Source organism: Homo sapiens, chromosome 6, assembly GCF_000001405.40.
Source record: "Homo sapiens chromosome 6, GRCh38.p14 Primary Assembly".
NCBI lineage: Eukaryota > Metazoa > Chordata > Mammalia > Primates > Hominidae > Homo > Homo sapiens.
The window spans coordinates 152005138-152026629 of NC_000006.12; the positions used below are offsets into that span (position 1 = coordinate 152005138).

The window sequence follows — 21492 nt, forward strand, 5'->3', positions numbered from 1 at the left end:
ACCATCAACTATTTCTAATTGGGGGTGTATGAAGACAGCTGCATTCTGGACATGCTAAACATCTTGAAATGCTTGGAGTGTAATAAAACCCCAAACGTGCTTTCTTTTCTCATTTCTTTGCACATGTATTTTAGGCAAAATATAATCCACATGCTGTTGTTCCCTCTCCTTTTAAATCATGAAAAATGTTGTTTTTATAGGGCTATTTGAGGTCCAGGATGCCTTTTTATCCTTTTTATTAGGTTATTTTTATATATAAATGAAAAGAAAAACATAAACAGAAAATACAACATGACATCATGAATGAGGGCAAGCACAAACTGCCCAATTTAAGTTTGAAGTTATAAACCTAAAATATTTTAAAACAAAACATTTCTCTTGGTGTTTTGCAAAAGTAATGCTTTCTTCTATTGGGCAGAAATTGCAGCCTGTTGGGATGAAGGAGAGAATAGAACTAATATTTATTGAGTAGCTACCATGGCTTTCTGGGACATCTGCTAACCCCTTAATTTTTACAGTAACCCTAAGTGGTAGGCCAGTCCATCTGCATTTTACAGACAGGAAATGCTTTCAGAGATATTAATTAGATGGCTGTAGACCACAGAAGAATTGAAAGTCAGGTCTTCTTGACTTTTCAGCTCATGACTTCATTACTTCTGCCCTCCTCATTCTGTTGGGAGATGGGTGGGAGTGTGCCCTCCAGATAATCAGAAAGTCCCATGTTGGGATGTGATTTGGAAATAGCTAGTCCTCAGGCCTGTGGACGAAGGCTATTGTAGCCTCAAGAAAGAAAGAGTCAGCTTGATATTGGCAAGGTGGTTATTTAGTGTGGCAGCTGCATAAGAGCATTGGATAGGTGGTATGATATGGGATGGGGGTCAGGGTGAGAGCTGCTCACACCTCCTTATTATGGCAGGGCAAAACCAGAATAGTCACAGTGATGGTGATGTAGGGTAGGTTCAAGAGAAAGCTCATGTTCTTCTAGCATTGAGACTCACAATATTTCAAAACAAGTGATTATTTATTCCATTACTATTTATTTTGGTGATGGATGTTGCATTTATTTTATTTTCTAACAGTAGTACATATTTGGTAAGAGTTGTTTGTGACATTCTTTATTTAAATGGATTAAACCCATTTTCTTAATTTTTTTAAGTGTTTGTCCTGTTATCGAAGATATCTTAAAGTGTTACAGAATGGGAATCATAGCTTTAATGAGTCTGCATATAAGAGAGTCCAAACATTTTTTTTTTGGAGAGAAGGAAGGTCATTTCAACTGTACTATAGGAACGATAGGGCCCATGATCCATGGTATGGCAATAAGTTACTATTTTTTGGAGAATAAATCGCAAAATATGGGACGTGAAGACTGCTTGGTATTTACACAGGAGTCTAGTTCTTCTGATACTATATATTCTATAAGCTTTCTCCCAGAAATCCAAAGTTTTATTTAGCTTGTAGCCATCATTGTGCCACAATCTTCCTTCCATGATTTATTTTTTTCCCATACTGTACTCTTGCACTGAGTCTTTGGCATTGAAAGGGAAAGAGATGAATTATTCAACTCTTCTTCTATTGAGTGAAAAGCCAATACAGAAAAAAAAATGCAACAGGCAATTTCATGACTGACATTTTGGAGAACATTGGGGTCATCATATGACTGAGAAAATGATTATCTCTTTTGAAGGTCAGGAAACCAATATTTTTTTTTCCAGTGAATCTACTGAGGGAACCAACCACCTAGCTTTTTGTAAATAGCACTCCTCAGGGAAATGTTGCTTTTTTCTTTTGCAGTGTTTCTGCTTTGAATCTTCATAGACTGTATCCCATGGAAGCAGGAATATAATTACTGTAGTGCTTACTTTTTTTCATGTCTCTACTGAAGAGCCACCCTGATTTATCTTTTACTCCAAGGTAGTGTGGAACTTTACAAGGATTTAGATTATATTAGTCATTTTGCTTGGAGATCTCTGCACACTTTTCAACATCATTTCTAAGAGCCTTGCCACACTCAGTAAAAGAGGGTGAGGCTTCAAGAATCTCTGTGTACCAACGCAAATTAGGCAATTTGTAAGAAGTCCCTAGTAGAGCAGAGTGGAGAGAGGGCTCAGGATCTCGTGAGGCCTGGGGCAGGGAGGTGGACATGCTATGAGCTCCTTTCACAGTCAACACAAAGTTAACACATCTTGGAGGAAAAACCGTTACTGTATAATGGAAGGCAGAAGGCAGGGATGTCTGTGCTTGGTGATGAAGCTATAAGTAGTGAGCTGATTTATGATGGAGGGGTGAATTGTGCCATGAAAGAGACTCCCCTCAATTTTATTAGCCAGATTACTGCCCATATGCGGGGTGAGGAGTGAGCATTTTAAGGCATTTCTCTCTGTTTTCAATATATCATCTCTGGATTCACTATTACTGGGACTTGTGAATATAGACTAGGGATTAAAACCTGAGTTTGCTTTTAAAAAACTTTATTTTATTAAATGAGATTTCTGAGCAACTGATTTCACTTAGTCTTATCAAACTATTCTTACTACTTTTTCGATATGCATTCTGTCCCTCCTGTGTGAAGGCCACAGGCCCATGGCCCCCATGTCATTGAGATGGAGGTCCTCAAGTGATGGCGGGATGAATCACCTCTCACTTGCCACCTGCGAGAATGTCTATCACTGATACCTCTCCTTATGTCCCGTAGCAGCTGCTAAGCTCCCACGTTATTATTGGTGACACTTTCTAGTGTTCAGGAGAGAACAGGATTTACTTTTTGAATGCCTCTAAATTATTATAGCAGGTTCATTTGGAATTGCATATCAGAACATTCTTCCTGTTTATCAGGAAAATAAACCAAGGTCTTGAAACTTGATGTCTATCCATAGTTGGCCCAATATAATTTTGCATGTGGTTTATTACATTATTTTTCTCCATTGGCTATGAACTGAAGGCATCTCATGGATATTTATTCCACGCTGAAAAGGTAGTTAGATGCTGTGTGGTAAAGTCGAGACCAGTATATTGGAAGAAAAGAGACACTCCATCTAATAATCTTTCATAGTCTTCACATTCATTGAGAAGGTTACTTGATAACCTTTCCTGCACACTCTCTCCCAACCCTGACCCAGGAACTTGCAGAGCACACTGTGCAACAGATCTAATAACCCTTGTCTGCAGGCAATATGCACAGCTGGGAAAGATAATTAAATAGACTCTTTTTGAGAGGTCTACAACATTTCAACGGAAGGATCGAGCAATCCGGCTGGCCTCCGACTGAAAACTATTACCAACAGACATACTTCAGACAGATTCCATGATCACCATCCTTATGTGGCACAAGTGCTTATGGGGAGCTTCTTTGGCTTCCAAAAGGCCACTAAAACTGTCAGACCTAAATAATACTGGAACTGTAAAGTGGGAATTAAAAATTATAATTCCATTTAACATGTAACGTTCTCATCAGAAAGGGGCCTTTGGTTTTCCATATTGATCGGTTACATGGTCAGCTGCAATTGTAACTCATGAGACACACCCAGATATCATCCTGCGTGATTCTTTTTGAGGTTTATTTAGGGTGTTAGATAATCCGAGGTAGGTTTCATCATGGGTGGCAATATTACATATAGCAAATGTCATGAGAAGAGAGACAAAGCCTCCCTTTTGAATGTTAACATTTATGCAATAAGTTTAATGTACCGTGTAAGTTTACATTACTATTATGAGACTTAACCTAAAAAATTGGGGTGAAATCTTAAAGAATTATGAAATTAAGAAATGAAACCAGAGGGCTTTCGTTTTAAGTACTGATCACTTAAACCAAAACCAGTTTGGCTTATCCTATGAGATCGTGGGTATTGAGAAAGAGGAACATTTGCTGCTGCATCCGGAGATGTTTCCTTGAGAGCAAGACTAGTTCCTTTTGACCCAGTACATCCTACAGGTAAATCACTGCATGCTGTAGAGATACCTGTTCCCTCCCTTCCCCCACCCCCTGGGGATCTGAAACCAAATCATTGCTTTTTCATCTTTTACTTATCCTTATAAACAAAGCCACCCACTTTCTCATTTTTCCTGATGCCAAGTCCTTCTTTACATGAGTGGAATCCACTCTTTTCAATGGAAAGACACCTGCTCTGAGACAGGCTACACTGTCATGAGCCTTGGCATGGCTGAGTGATGTAGTGGAAGGTGCAATAAATTTAAACTTTAAAAATGCAAAATTTGATGGAATCATGCATCTTGTGCCTACAGTGAGTATATGGTCTAGCAGGATTTACAGATACATGCATGATTAATTTGAATACAGTATAGCAAAATGATCTGTTAAAAAACACATGAAAAGATGTGCAACCTTATTAGTCATTAGGAAAATGCACATAAAACCACCGTTCCTGTGTGATACCTCTGTACGTCTATTAGAATGTATAAAATTTAAAAAGACTGAACATAGCAAGCACTGGTGAGGTTGTAGACCAACTGGTGCTTTCATGTTTTGCTGGTGAGAATGTAAACATTACAACTACTTTGAAAACAGTTTGACAGTTTCTTAAAAAGCTAAAACATCCACCTGGCATGCTATATACAGATATCCTACTCTTACGTATTTAACCAAGAGAAATAAAAGCATATATCCATTCAAAAACTTGTAAATAAATTGCTCCTAGCAGCTTTATTTGTAATAGCCAAAAACTAGAAACAACCCAAATGTCCAATGAAAGGATACATCGTATTTATTTATAGGACATATCCATGCAATGGAATACCACTTAGGAATAGAAAGAATCAACTGTTCATCATACATACAACCACATGGCTAAGTCTTAAAAATAATTATGCTTAGTTAAGAAGTCAGACAAAAAGGTAAGAGACTGTTAGGAGCTGAATTAGCGGGTTAACAGTGGCAATGAAAAAGGAGAAAATTATAGCTACCTCAAGATAGAATTGATGAGCTTTGATTATGAAATGATGGTAAGAGAGAGGGCCATAGACTCTGAGGTCTGTCTCTAGCTTTGGTTTCCCTATGTGGATCATTATCTATTTGGATATAAGAATTATCTGAAAGATGATACTTAAGCATGTAAGAAATGATAAGCTACCTGTTTAATGATGAGCTTTTGTTACCTCCAAGAACCCCAAGAAGAAACATCCTGTAAGCAGACCATTCATACTTGATTGTTAAAGGAAAACAAAATTCCATTTTGTCTTTTTCATCAACACAAGTATAGCTGGCTAATAAAAGTGTAATATTCATGAGAGAAAAAGAAAAGAACACGCACACACATACACTCAACAGGATTCCTAGAGTCATTCCCATGGATAAGAGGGAAGGAAAGGTTGAGGGCAAAGAGAGAAGGGAAGGAAACAGACTATGATGGGATATCTTAGGGCAAAAGAATAGGGGGCTGATTTGGAAGGCAGCAAACTTCATGGATACTTGATTTATTTAATGTCCCTGTCACTCTGGCGTATCTTAATGTGTGTGGTGTGTGATTTATTTAGTCACTTGATCCAAATTCTCTAATTAAGTGGAGCTCAGAAGATATAGTGTCCATTGTGGTCAAGGGCACAGGTTTTGGCTTCAACAGACAAATAAGCTCTCTGAGCATCTGTCTTCTCATCTGTACAATGGGAATATCAGTTCCTACCTCTTCAGGTTGTTGTATTCATAAATAAATTGTGTACAAGAAACATTAGGATTGCTTCTTACCCGTAGTAAGGGCTCAACAAACCTTCTCCTCCTTCTCCTCCTCCTTCTCCTTCTTCTTCTTCCTCCTCCTCCTCTTCTTCTTCCTTTTGCTTTTCTCCTTCCTTCTTCCTTCCTTTCTTCCTACCTCCTTCTCATTATTGTTATTAGGTAACCACAATATTATCAGTAATGATTGGAGAAAGCTTTAATCTCCTAGTTCACCATTAGAAAACAAGAACACATTTTGGTGGTTATTACCCGAAGTAATCATAATGTCACCTTTTTTTCCATCTGACTCATTATCCCAAGTGATTTATTTATATATGGAGTTTTCTGAGTCTTTCTTTTACATATTACAAAAAAAGAGTGTGATTTAGGGACGAAGCAAAGAAATAAAAATTTAGTGACTTTCATTCTGCCTGTGCCCCAATTCCTATTGGGCATAAGGCAAGTAATTTAAATTTCTTAGCACCTTAGCATCTTCTACTCAAACAGAAATGAGGAACAGTCACAGGTTACTATTATAGCTGTCTAAGTAGAAGGCACACAAGTTTTCACACTGAGTATAACACTTTATAGAAAGCTAAGTGTGTTGCTCAAGTTGGTACATTTCTGTAGATGTGACACTATGGCACTAAGAAACTTAATGCCACATTGAAATTCATTGAGATAGCTAGACTTTAAAAATAATTACTTGACTTCACTATAAAGTATGTTCGTATTGCATTTACTCCATCTAGTAGAAAATAGACCTTGTCAGTTCAAATCCCTGTTGCATTAATTTCACCAGTAATGAGTCTTTTTCATTTGAGTCAGCAGGGTTTTTCTTGCTTGTTTTCAGGCTTTGTGGATTTGACCCTCCATGATCAGGTCCACCTTCTAGAATGTGCCTGGCTAGAGATCCTGATGATTGGTCTCGTCTGGCGCTCCATGGAGCACCCAGGGAAGCTACTGTTTGCTCCTAACTTGCTCTTGGACAGGTAAGTGACCTGGCTGTAGCTTAGGAGTAGCATGTTCTTTACGATCATAGTTCATTCATGAAACTATTTTATTCATCTCTCGGTGAAGCTTCAGAGAACTTTATTAGGTATGTTTACTTAACAAAAGAGTGCATTGGGGGTGATGAAGCCTAGTCAAATTCACAGAAAGCTAAGGATAACTTTCTGCTAGACATTACCTCAGAAGAATTCTATTATTTCTAATACACACACACACACACACACACACACACACTCACACTCTCTCTCTCTCTCTCTCTGTCATTATGAATGGTAATTTTCTAACTCCATCTTCAACTTGTATCATATAAAAATTATAATAACCTCTCTTTAATTAAAATCTGTTGTTGCTTCTTGTACATCCATACCACAATAGCCTATTCATTTTCTTCTCCAATTTTCCCATCCGTAAAATGAAGAAATTTGACCAGAGTTCTGAAGGTCACATTCAGGTCGACAAATTCATTTTCATGTTCAAATATGTTACCTTCTTTAACATACCATTCTGGGGTTGCCTTGGAATGTGGGTCCCATTGTTTTTTTTTTTTCAGTCATTGCTTAGAGTCATAGAATTTAGATATTACTCAATAGCAGCTGCCACTGATAGAGTCTCCACCCTGCACCAGCTGTGATGCTAAACACTTTACATATATTATCTCATTTAATCATCACCGGACTCCTAGGAGGCAGGAATGTCATCATCCATGTTTTACCAGAAAGGAAACTAAATCTCAGAGACATCCTGCTACTTGCAAAAAGAGGAAAGCTCACTAAATGGTGGAGCCAGAGTTCAAATTCAAGATCTTTCTGGCTCCGGTATGCTCTGTTACCTCCTGTGCTGGGCACATGGTCTTCCCACTCTCATGTTCAGTGATGCCTCCTTTGGTCTGCTGCCATAGCATTCTGTTTTCCAGGTAAATCTTGTCTTTGTGGGCTACATAACATTTTGGATGAGAAAGAACCATTTTGTTGTTTCTTGCAATCCTATTTTGCCTCCGTGCCAAGCAGTCTAAGGCTGCCAGGCTGCCCACAGTGCATCTCTGCATGGTACTTTACTTCAGAGCATTTCACTATCTTTCTACACCTGCCAAGTGCCTGGAGCAGAGTTGCAGCAAAATTTATTTAAGTACTGGAGAATTGTACAAGGTGTTGGTTATTGTTTTGTCATTTTGTGTTAACACAGCTTTTGAAAAACAGTGGTGATACAGTTTAAGAAGCATATTTTGCTGTCTGTGGAATATATTTTGATATCACAGTTTCACAAAATTATCAAGAATGGCCACTAGTCTTGTTCCTTAGAACTGTACTCACAATGTATTCTGTCAGCCTTATAGAGGATGTCTTTACCGTGTTCTTTCCTTTCCATTCCTTGTTTCCTTTCCATTTTTTCCTATCTCATTTCTCCTCTCTTTTCCTTTGCTTTCCTCTTTCTTTCTTTCTCCTGTCCTCTTAATTTTTTTGTCTTATAGCAGTGTGGTTTTGTAACCAAGTGATATCAAGTTTGCAAATGAAAATCTTAGACCACACGTAACATTTCCCTGCCTACTGCCTGGAGTGTCTACCATGTTTAGGTTTTTGGACATTCATAACTCATTTGCTCCTTGATTTCCATCCTCATCTGTATCTATCTTCTTTTTTAAAATTTAATTCAATTTTTATAATGTTGACACAATTATGCAGATTCATAGGGTACACAGTGATGTTTTGATACATATAATGTGTGGTGATCTTATCTATCTTCTTGAGTACACACTTGCTTGAGGACAGTCATCAAATAATTGCATTTTGAATATGTGAAGGTTTTTGACATTACTGCACCCAAAAAACTCATATTGCCAGTGAGGTGATATGGCCTAGGATTTTATCAGCTACAGCCTTCTCTTTCCTTTCTGTACACTCCAGTGGTGGCTAATTTTCTTTCCTCTCTCACAGAAGTATGAATGACTAAAAGTTCTCATCTCTATTCATTCCTACTTTCTAAAACTTCAGATCGGAAATTTGAATTACCTCTAGACCAGGATTTGTCAGTCTCTTTACTATTGACATTTTGGGTCAGATCATTCTTTCATTCTTTCTTGGTTGAGGGGTTGATATTGTTTGGTGTGTCCTCATCCAAATCTCAAATTATAGCTCCCATAGTTCCCATGTGTCATGGGAGGGACCCGGTGGGAGGTAACTGAAACATAAGCAAAGGTCTTTCCCTTGCTCCTCTCATGACAGTGAATTTCTCATGATATCTAATGGTTTTATAAAGGGGAGTTCCCCTGCACACGCTCTCTCTCTTCCCCGTTGCCATGAAAGATGTGACTTTGCTCCTTCTTCCCCATGATTGTGAGGCTTCCCCAGTCACAAGGAACTGTGAGTCCATTAAACCTTTTTCTTTGTAAATTACCCAGTCTCAGGTAGGTCTTTATTAGCAGCTTGAGAACAGACTAATACAAGGGGCTGTCTTGTGCATTTTAGGATGTTTAACAGCATCCCTGGACTCCACCAGCTAGCTGCCAGTAGCAACCTCCACTTCCTCCAGTTACGATAACTAACAATGTCTCCGGACATTTCTACCTATCTTCTGTTGTGTCAGGGGGTGGGGGAGGTAAAATTGCCTCTGGTTGAGAATCACCACTCTATGCTTTCCCAACTCAATGTTCTATAAGCTCCTCAGACACACTGTACTCTAAACTGCACACTCACTTTATCTTCTGCAACAAGTCTATTCCTTTTCTTTTCTGTCTTGGTGACATCAACACTCACCTAGACACTAAAGCTAGAAGCTTTAAGTTACCCATGGATTCTACCTTCTCCCTCACCAAATTATCCAGTTAACTATCAAGTCATCTATGAACTGCTTCTGAATCCAGACCTCCCCTCTATCCCCATTCCTCTGCATGGCACAGGTCCTGGTTGTCTCTGCTGCAGATTCCTTGCTTCTGCACCACTGACTCACTTTCTTGGTCCTGCTACTCTTTCTTTCAGTCCATCTCCCATACTGCTGCTGGAGAAGGCTTTCTAAGGCACAGCTGTGATCATGATGCTTCCTGACTCACCTTTCAGTGGCTCTCTCAATTCTTAACATGGAGAAACCCCATCTCTACTAAAAATACAAAGTTAGCCGGGCATGGTGGCTCATGCCTGTAATCCCAGCTACCCGAGAGGCTGAGGCAGGAGAATCGCTTGAACATGGGAGGCAGACGTTGCAGTGAGCCAAAATTGTGCCATTGCACTCCAGCCTGGATGAAATTCCGTCTCAAAAAAAGAAAAGAAAATACTGTGTAGACTTCTTATCTTAATAATCATGAATCACTATTACAAGTGTCTCAAACGCAAATTTCTGAAGAGTCACAGGTGACCCAGTGAGCCCTTGTCCAGGCTAAAAACACCTGGTGGCTGAATTCTGAACTTCACACATTCGAATTTCTCTTCCATTGCTTCTGAGAGACCCTCCACCATTACGGTTCCTTATCAGAGTCATATCTACCTATAAGGCTCATTTCAGGTGCCGTCTTTTTATAAAATCTTCCTTCAAACTTTCTCCTCTTCAGCCTTTATATATACAAAAGGCTTTTCTTTCTTTTCCTTTTCTAAGTTTCCATTGTAGTTGGTTTGCTTTTCTCTTTATTATTCTCATTCCACCATATTAGTTATGATTGGATGTCTTCTTACCTTCCCTACTAGCTCATAAACTTCTTGTGGTCAAAAACCAGATCTTGTTCGTCTTGTGTGATCTCCAGTTTACGAAGTCTTCCATGATACCCAACAAATATTTGTTAATTGCACTGGCCAAGGTCACCCAGGTGGCTTGTGGCCAAATCAGAAGAATCTACATCTTCTGATAGTCATGGCAGCTGTTATTCCCATCCAACTCACTTCCTGTGCATTGCTACTCATCAATTCCCCACTTATTCTTTTAAAAACATTGCATAAATACATATCTATGTGTTTTGGAAAGATTTTCTTAATCTATAAGCGCATTTGGCGTGTGCTTATATGTCTGCTTATATGCCAAATTTGAAATTCCAAATTTCGCCATTTGGAATTTCAAATGGGGAAAAGCAAAGACTCTTATCTTTCCCATAATCAAACCCCTTATGAAGTAAAATCCTTAAGGTCTCTCTACAGGTTAAAAATAATTAGGTGATATGATTTGGCTGTGTTCCCACCCAAATTTCACCTTTAATTGTAATAATCCCCAGGTGTCAAGGGTGGGGCCAGGTGGAGATAATTGAATCATGTGGGTTGTTTTCCCCATACTGTTAGTGTGGTAGTGAATAAGTTTCATGAGATCTGATGATTTTATAAATGGGAGTCCCCCTGCACAAGCTCTCTTGCCTGCTGCCATGTAAGATGTGACTTTGCTCCTCCTTGCCTTCCGCCATGATTATGAGGCCTCCTCAGCCATGTGGAACTCTGAGTCAATTAAACCTCTTTCTTTTATATATTACCCAGTCTCAAGTATGTCTTTATTAGCAGCATGAGAACAAACTAATACATTAGGTATATGTTAATGATGAGGAATGTGTATAAATACATATACATTTATATTTAAATATTAATATTTACAAATAACATGATATTAAAAATATGGTCTATAATTTTTTAAATTATCTACCTTTCTAATCATTAACATGCACTAAATATTATTAAATTTCAATATTATTTAATTACCATCTTGGTGTTTGAGGATAACTGCTTTTGATGGCATTGATAGATGCATTAACAGTGAAACATTGTGACCAACAGCCCATCTGAGATTTTATACTTGTAGAAGATGGCTTCTGAGTGACAGCTGAGAAGACTGTTTATGTCTTTGCCCTACAGGTTCCTAACCCCTTTAATAAAATAGAGCTCTCTGATGCAGATGACACATGGGCCTTCTTTTTGCTCTTGTCCCATCACATTGTACATAGTAAACATTTTTAGCAACAAATAGTAGATACTTATAACTTTAAAAGCTAAGTGGTTGACAGCTGAGAGGCAGATGATGGTAATTTCATCATTTTTCTCATATCTCAGGCATTGTGACACTACCTCTGCAAGGTCAACTGTCTCCATAGGCTGTTTTCATTTGCGTAGAAATAGGGGGGAAAGATAGCTTGAAGTCATCAGGAGCCCTGCAACCCATGGATTACCAATGTTGCTAACTGGAGCCTGGATTTCATCTTCAATTGATTGTAATGATGTCTTGTTCTCTCAAATCTTTGCAAATCTAGGCATTTATAAGACTATCCTGTAGGTCCCTTACAAGACCATGAGGATGCTAGAACTTACCCTAGTCTTTTCTTGTAATTGCTTAAATGTTAGTATTGGCAAATGGGGTTTGGTGATTATAAGAGTAAAAAAACCTGCTGCCATCCCACATTTGTGAGCAGAGGATACATTTCCTATCTTGTGTCCATTTAAAAAGAATGATTGCTTGATTGGCTTCCTGATGACAACCCATGATATACTGATTCTGTTAGTTTATAACTTTCCTAGTAGTCATATGCTTATAGGCCAATTTTATCCTTGCCATGCTTAGCCTAGTCACAATTTCCAGTTCTTCTCTGTATCCTGCAGCAGTGAGTTCCAAACACTTAATGCTGTCATCTCTTCCTGTGAAAACCAAGAAATAAAGGTTATTATAAGGTATAAATAAAGAACCCAGTGATTTCTCTTGGGGTGTGTGTGTCCATGTGTGTGTATATTTTACAAGAGGAAAGTTAAAGATACTAAGAATGCCTGTGAAAGTAATCAGGAAATGGAGAAAACTTGTTTTCCATTCTAGCACCTAATCCTTTGGTGTGTTTTGGCACTAGAAAACACAAAATATGTCCTCTGTGTCTACTAGGAATGCCTCTCTTCATTTAGTCCTGCTTGAGTGCTCATGATGGAAAAATATAGACTGAAAACAGGAGCAAAAGTGTTCATCCTACTCATTCCTTGTGGGGTCTCTTTGCTTTCAAAGAGATGTTAGAGATGTTAGTAAATGGTGTTAGAAGAAACAATGTAAATTGCCTGTTTAGTAAGATGATCCAGTTTCTAAGGAACTGTTTTACTGGCGCCTTCCATGCTAACAAATTCTGAGAAATATTTGCGGATTTCTCAGTGAAGCCAAAGCACTCTCTTTTGACTCCTATTTACTCTCAGAGAAAAAAACTATTCATCCATTTGAAAAGCAGGGACCAATTCAACAAGCAGAATATTCCCTCTACTAAGCCTTTGGCCAGAGAGTTGTTGCTCTAGTTCTTTCCATCACTCCTGCATCAGGAGGCTCTGCCTGCAGGAAATAGTATTGGACAACAGAAAGTTCTTTTACTTGTAGGCATAAAATAGGTATAAATTCTCCTCCTTAAGAGAAAAACAGGTTGCTGCACCAGAAAGAACATTTGCCTCTTCTACTAAATAGCAGACTGTTTTCCAATGATAAACTCATTTTAAATAGAAAAAAAAAAGTCATTCTCTACAAACAAGAACATTTTCATTTTAGGTTGTTTATTGTAAATATTTCAGAAAAAAAATATGCAAAAAAAAAAATGCCCAAAAATCAATGCTTCCAGTAACATATTTATTAGCTATCTTTTTCCCCATGTAAAACTTCAGGTAAATTCTTTGCAGATTTTTTACTTGGAAGAATGATAAAAAAAAAAAAAAAAGTTCTGAAATGAGTTGAATTCATCCACGTGTGTTTTTGATTCACATGAAGAGTAGGACCTCCCTTTATATTCCCTCTTCAAATTCTCCCCTCTGAAAAATGGGTGGTACACTCAAAGGAGGACCGCACACATTGTAGTAGCTGGGGTGTTGGGGGTGGAAGGAGCAGGTTTTGGGGGTGGGAGGAGCGGTGAGTGATCCTTTCAGCAAAGTCAGTCCTGGGCAGGAGACGGCTTCAGGAATACTGTCAGCTTTACTGGATTCCACCATCGCTTTCCAGGACTGTTTAGGCCCTGGGCCCTTGAAGGGTTTGCGTGCCTCTTGTCTCCATTCATACCTCAAGAACTTTGTTCATGTTAATTTTTTTTCACTCTATCATATGGAATTGAGTAAAAAAAGAAAAAAAAAAGGAAGCCAACACTTACTTAACTGCTTTAATGTATAGGACTCTGTTCTGGGTTGTCTTCTAAAGTACATTTCATTCAATGTGTGAGAATACAGATAGGAAAGAGTTTTGCTAGTTTCTATTTTGACTGTGGATCCATTGATTCTTTCTGGTTCTCAGCCCTTAATTGCTCAGCTGCAGATACCACTTGACTGACTCTTAAAAGTCTTTGGTTTATTGCCCAATTCTGGGAATATGAAACTGTAAGCTGTTTAGGAGAAAAACTGAGACCAAAAGAAAGGAGAAGTGAGCCAAACTGCCATTATGATTGCCACTTCTTATTGAAGATAAATCAAAATATCCATTTGACTAGAAATCAATTGAATTATGCACTTTAAATGGGCCAATTCAATGATACCTGAACTATATCTCAAAAAAGGTGTTAAACACAGGCACACACGTACACACACATATTGGAATTCCAGGAAAAGTCACTTTGATCAACAAGATTATCAGTCGTCAAAGTGCTTGGAAGGGTTCTATTGGAATAAAGCTAAAAAAAATCAAAGTAAAATTTCTCCTTAAAAACAAAAGCAATTAAGCAGCACTGTATTATAAAATATGCTAAGCTGCAAGTCAAAATTCTTAAGAGACTTAAGCCTGTAAGCAGTAAGGATCCACTCAATGTAAAGTTACTCCAGAGGGAAAGGCGTGAGCCCAACCAAAGTATTAATGCTGTGTAGGAGGTTAATTTGACTCTTCTTAACATTTTTACACACCACATTATGTTTTATTCACCATTTATTATTAACTGAATTTATTAAAGTATAATCAAAATAATATTTTTGAGAGTTTAAAAATATTCTCATAATATTTAAGTTACATATACTATGCAGGGACCGTCAAGTAATTCCACTCTGACATCTGTATTTATTACCGCCACCTGTCCATGATGGTATTAGAAAGATCCTCATTTGTTTTAATGGATGCCTCTAAAATCCAGTTTTAAGAGGGGGTTGGCCACTTTCAAGTTTGTGTTAGTTAGGATTCAGTTTAACCCAGCTCAACAGGTATTTACTAAGTACCAGCATATCCATAGGGCGCTGTATGATACTGGAGGACACACAGAAAAGAGATGTGTAAGAGGCACTCCTGCCCTCAAGGAGTTTACTATTGAGTGGTAGTGTAATATGAATAAACAAATGAATCTGCTCAAAAGCAGGGCATTCTAAGCAGGCCCTCACCAGCCTCTCATCATTCGCATCTAGTGTATCTTCCTCCATCACTTTCTAAACGCTATGGATTCTGAGTGAAAACCAATCGCTGGTTTATGCATGTATGCATATATGAATTCATTCTTGACATTGCCATGCAGAGTATTTAGTATAACTAGACTTATTATCCATTTATCCTGCCTAGAAGCATACTGTAATATATATAACTCTAAAAGCAAGATCATTCCTTATGTTGGTTCTTTTGAGCTGGCAGGGGGAAAGCAGAGTATGTTGGCAGGGGTCTATCAAGGTAGATGAGCCCAGTTTGTACATCTTTGAAATATTACCAATGCCAATGTGTTAGTACTGCTTGGATCTCTTCTATGACAACAGTTCTTATTTTTTCCTTTTTTTTGTTTGTTTGTTTTTTGAGACAGGATCTTGCTCTGTCACCTAGACAGGAGCGCAGTGGTGTGATCTCGGCTCACTTCAATTTCCGCCTCCTGGGTTCAAGCAATTCTTGTGCCTCAGCCTACAGAGTAGTTGGGATTACACGCATGCGCCATCATGCCTGGCTAATTTTTGCATTTTTAGTAGAGATGGGGTTTTGCCACGTTGGCCAGGCTGGTCTGGAACTCCTGGCCTCAAGTGATCTACCCGCCTTGGCCTCCCAAATTGCTGGGATTACAGGTGTGAGCCACCACACCTGGCCCATCAGTTCTTAATTTGATGAATGGATAGAGGTTTGGCTTCAAATAAATGGAGTTAGTCTGTCAATATCTGTTTCTTTTAAAATTTGCAATTGTTTTTATTTTTAGTGTCATGCTATGTGCCCTTAATGATCTAGAATTAAGTTCTAATCTCTACCCTGGTATAATTGATTTCTCCCTGTGGACTCCTAATATAAGAAGAAAGATGAAGTTTTTCTTTTAATGCTTTTAGAGATCTTCATTAAGTCATTTAATATTCTTATTTGCTATTTCCCAGTGTGATGGTTAAGACTGAGTGTCAACTTGATTGGATTGAAGGATACAAAGTATTAATCCTGGGTGTGTCTGTGAGGGTGTTACCAAAGGAGATTAATATTTGAGTCAGTGGGCTGTGGAAGGCACACCCACCCTTAATCTGGTGGGCACGATCTAGTCAGCTGCCAGCGAATATAAGGCAGGCAGAAAAACGTGAAAGGGGAAACTGGCCTAGCCTCCCAGCCTACATCTTTCTACCATGCTGAATGCTTCCTGCCCTTGAGCATTGGACTCCAAAATATTCAGTTTTGGGACTCGGACTGGCTCTCCTTGCTGCTCAGCTTGCAGACAGTCTATTGTGGGACCTTCCGATCATGTAAGTTAATGCTTAATAAACTCCCCTTTATATATATCCTATTAGTTCTGTCCCTCTAGAGAACCCTGACTAATACACCCAGTGTGTTCTTTTATCAAATAGAAAGGAGATATAGAAAACACACTGTCCATGTCTTTGATTGTTACACCACAGCAGAGAATCAATTTCTTAACCTGCTTACTTATTTACCATTCTCCAATGGTGCCAATTCTGAGATCCATCATGACTTTATCATTAGAAAAGGGGATGTAACAAACATGATGAGATGTTACGGGAATACTGCTTACTGCATGATATGGTTTGGCTGTGTCCTCACCCAAATCTCATCCTGAATTTTAGCCTCCCATACTTCCCACGTGTTGTGGGAGGGACCCGGTGGGAGGTAATTGACTCATGGGGGTGGTTTCTCCCATACTCTTCTCCTGGTAGTGAATAAGTCTCACAAGATCTGATGGTTTTATAAGGGGTTTTCCCTTTCACTTGGCTCTCATTCTCTCTTGCCTGCTGCCATGCAAGACATCCCTTTGCTCCTCCTTCATCTTCTGCCATGATTGTGAGGCCTCCCCAGCCATGTGGAACTGTAAGTCCTTTAAACCTCTTTTCTTTATAAATTGCCCAGTCTCATGTATGTCTTTATCAGCAGCATGAAAACGGACTAATACACTGCATGCTCAGTATACTCAGGCACTCTGGAAACTAGGTTTCTACTTCGGACCCCTGAGAGAAAAGGGTTATGTATCTCCAAGTGTGGTCATGACAAGCATCACTACTGTGTGCAGTTGGGCCTGTGGATTGAGCCACCTTAGCCTCTGAGGAAAGCAGAACCTGAGAGCATGCTTAATTCAGAGTGTGTGTGACTTGGAGTGTGGAAAGGAAGATTTCCAGATTTGCGGTATTGGCGACTGAAAGGATGGCAATGCTATTGATGGAGATTAGGAAGACAGGAGAGAGGTAGATGTTGAGCAACTCCGAGGAGTTTTTCCTCATACATGTTGGGTTTAAAGTGCAGGGAAGATATCCTGAAGGTTATTCCAGGCAGAAATTTGGAGCTCAGAAGAGACATCAGAGCTGAAGATAAAAAATTTGAGAGCCATCTCCGTAGCTAAAAGTGTGGAACGAATGTGATGACTAGACAAGATAATAGAGAAAAGGTATCCAAAGGCCTGAGGTCAAGACCTCTTAAAAGGCTGACTTTTCAGGGTTTTAGGTAGAAAAAGAGTCCCAGCCTGGGGTTAAGGCAGTTTTTTGAGAAGTAGAGGTACAAAGTTCCTTGTTCCAAAGGAAGGGTGTCTTTCAAAAGAAAAAGGATGGGCCGGGTGCAGTGGCTTACGCATGTAATCTCAGCACTTTGGGAGGCCGAGGCTGGCAGATCACCTGAGGTTGGGAGTTCGAGACCAACCTGACCAACATGGAGAAACCCTGTCTCTACTAAAAATAAAAATTAAAAATTAGCCGGGCTTGGTGGTGCATGCCTGTAATCCCAGCTACTCAGGAGGCTGAGGCAGGAGAATCACTTGAACCTGGGAGGCAGAGGTTGCAGTGAGCCAAGTTCTCACCATTGCACTCCAGCCTGGGCAACAAGAGTGAAACTCTGTCTCAAAAAAAAAAAAAAGAGAGAAAAAGAAAAAGGATGGTGAATTGGGCCAAATACCAGAGAGATGGACAGGAGTAAGAAGAAAAAGACTAAAGATTTGTTCATCAGGAGCTCATTGTTTCTAAAGGGAGCATTTTTAGTAAAGAGGAAGGAGGAATAAAATGCAGTATAATATGTTAAATCTAAGTATAATTTATAAAAGAGAAAATGGGGGTGGAATATTACAAAAAAGGAACTATAAACCAGCTCTTTGAGGTATTTGTCAGTGAGGAAAACAGTGGGGCTCTAGTTCTTGATAGCAACAGCATCAAAGGGAACTTTTTAAACTAAAATATTATGAATTTTTCAAACTGAAATAATGAGAGAATAATACAAAGAAATCTCATCTGCCCATAATCCAAATTCAGTAGTTATTAAAATTTTGCCCCATTGCTTAATCCATTAATCTCATTTCATTTTGTCCTTTTTCTTTGTTTATTTTTGGCTAAAACATTTTAAAGACAAATCCTAAATATCATACATCAGTAGGCATTTACAAAAAAATTTCTTGATAATCACAATGCCATTCTCATACCAAATAAACTTATAATAATTCTGTGATATCATCTAAAAAACAGTTCTTTTCTACATCAAAAATGTCTGTTTATAGTTGATTTATTCAATTTAGAGTCCAAACAAGTTCCATATATTAGACATTAGGTCATTAATGTCTGTCTATTTGAATTTATAACAATTTCCACTTAATTTATTTTCTCCAGCTTCTGTGGAGACTAGGTAAGTTGTTTTGTAGCTGTCTGGATATATCTGATTGCTTCCTTGCAGTGTCATTTAACTTGTTCCTCTATCCTCAGTGTTTCTGCACATGGAAGTTAGCCTCATAGCAGGGGTTGGCATACTTTAGCCTGCTTACCAAATACGACTCCCTTACATTTTTGTAAATAAAATGTTACTGGAACACTGTCACATATGTTGGGGTCATAGAAAGAGTTTCCGTGTCCCCAAGTTATAATTGCATTCACTTATATTTTCTTCTAGTAATTTTTACCCTTACATGTTAGGGGTCAATTTGGAATTTCTCTTCATATACAGTATGCAATAAAGAATGGCTTTTATATTTTTCCAAATGTATATTCAGTTGTCTCAACACCATTTATTAAAAAGTCAGTATTTCTCAAGTGATTTGAGATCTACCCTTAATTACACAGTAAATTTCTCTGTAGTCTTGTCTTTTTCTAATATGTTAATTCTGTACCAAGATTTGTTCATCTGTTAATGGATCAATATCACATAGCTTTGTTTATAGAAGGTGCACATTGTTTTAATTCTGGCCATGCTATCCCACCAAATATTGCCCTTTGATTTTTCAGAGTTTTACTGTGGATTCTTCCTTGTTTCTTTTTCTATGTGACCTTTAGAATTAACTTGTTTAATTCTATAAGTAAATTTATTGATAATTTTATTGAAATTATGTAAAATATAAATTGGCTTAGGAAGTACTGATATCTCCATGACATTAAGTCTTCATATCTAAGACCAAGGGGTGCCTTTTCATTTGTTAAATATTCTTTGTGTCTTTCAGAAGTGTTTTCAAGTATCCTTATGTGTATTTTGCACAAATTTTTATATTTGTGCCTATTGGATGCCACGTGCAGGGTTAAAAAATATTATACCTATTTTATATAGATATATATGTATATAAAAATATATATTATATATAGTTATAATACATAAATATATTTTAATATATTATATAATATATACATGTATTGTATTTATATATGTATTTATATGTGTATCTATAAATATACATATGTATGTATCTATAAATATACATATATGTGTACATATACACATATATACACATTATATGTATGTTTATACACATATAAATACATATATAAATATACTAGAAAGTCCATGGGGTTTCCTAGTATACAATCATATTGTCTGCAAATAGAGATTGTTATACCTTTTCCTTTCTATTCCAAAGTGTCTAAAAGATTTTTTCTTAGCTAGTGGCATTGGATGACACCTATAATGTCTTCTAAAAATAGTAGCAGTCATAGGCACCATTTCCTTATTCTTGAATATTCATTCATGTTACAAAGTTTATAGGAATTTCTGAATTATTAAGTACTTTTAATAGGAATGAAGGTTATTGTCATTATTGCATCAAAATTCATAAGAAAGTTTGGTGTCAAATTTGTGCTTTGTGTGTAGTCTTCATCACGCTTTTTTTTTTTTTTTTAACCAGTGTTAAACATCCATTACAAAAATAGTTTGGAAGTTTTTCTTTTTTTTTTTCCTATGTCCTGGAAGGTGTAAGTAGAATTGGAATTATTTGATCTTTAAGATGTAAAATATTGGTAGAATTCTACCTTTGAAAGCACCTGGACATGGTGACTTCTTAATAGGTGAGCTCTCTGGAAACTTTATTTCTTCTGTAGTAATTGGTCTCCTTAGACTTTCTATTCCTTCTGGAGTCAGATATTGTATATCAAATCTTCTGTTAAAGTTATCCATTTCTTCTTGGTATTCCAATTTTTCACATTGAGTTGGACAAATGATTTCTGATGATGTTTAAAAAATTTCTCTGGTTTGATGGTTACTTTGACCGTATAATTTATTTTGTGTATTTATGCTTCTTTTAGAAACTTAGGTCAGCTAGTGGTTCCTCTATTTTGTTGATTTTTTTCCTCAAAGAACTAGCTTAAGTTTATTTTATTAGTTCTACTAGTTTTCTGCTTTCTAACTCATTAAGTTATGCCTTTAGCTTTATTAAATCCTTCATTCTGCTATCAGTTAATGTTTTAGTTCATTTTCTAGCTTTTTGAGTTGATACTTAATTTATTTTCATTTCATGATATAGGTAACTGATGCTCAGAATTTTCTCAAAGCATCAGTTTTCGCTGGGCCCCATAGATTCTAATATATCTTACTTTCATTATTATTATTTCCTAAAAATTCAGCAATTTCATGTTTTATTTTGTCTCTCATTCAAGAGTTGTTTAATAGACAGTTTAATTTCCAGGTTGGATGGGCATTTTGTTTTGTTTTTTGTTTTACTGTTTATAAATACTTTTGGCCTTGGGATCAGAGAATACTGCTTGTATTACAATTATTACTGAATATTTTTGTGGTCTAATATAATTTCAGCTTTCAAAAATGTTCCATGTATACTTGAAATGAAGGTTTATTTACCCTTATAAAGATAGAAGGTAAAATATTAGCTATGCCCATGTCTATTTATCTTCTTATAATTTTTGCTTAATGAAAACTAATGATCCATTATCTGCTGCATAAGTATTTATGTTTGCTTTCTCTTTATTATGCCTTATGGCTTTTGTGTTAAAAAGCTATTGATTTATTTAATATTTTGGAAGGATTGAATTTTACCCTATCTAATATCAAGATCATGACTCTTGATTCCTTTTTGTTTTCACTTGTTTAATATATCTTTCTTCTATCTTTATTTTAAACACAAGAAGAGCTTTGCTTTCAGTTTCTATTTTACATAGTCTACAATCGGATTTTACTTATTAGTCAATCTGAGAATACTTTTAATAGATGAGTTACACAAATACATATTTATTGATACCAACACAGTTTAATTCAAGATCTGTTCTATTATTTTATATTTATTATATATTAAATTG

The 21492-nt window shown here is 37.3% G+C and overlaps 1 protein-coding gene across 33 annotated transcripts in view; it reads left to right on the forward strand.

Moving 5' to 3' along the window:
• ESR1 (estrogen receptor 1) overlaps positions 1-21492 on the forward strand; it is a 472948-nt gene that overhangs the window by 348466 nt on the left and 102990 nt on the right. For 30 of the 33 annotated variants that reach the window (XM_047418290.1, XM_017010377.2, NM_001385568.1 and 27 more), the window contains one exon: positions 6519-6657. The exons of the other annotated variants lie outside the window; for them this stretch is intronic. In XM_047418290.1, coding sequence (XP_047274246.1) covers positions 6519-6657 — 139 coding nt within the window. The remainder of the gene's footprint in view (positions 1-6518; positions 6658-21492) is intronic. 33 annotated transcript variants of the gene reach the window in all.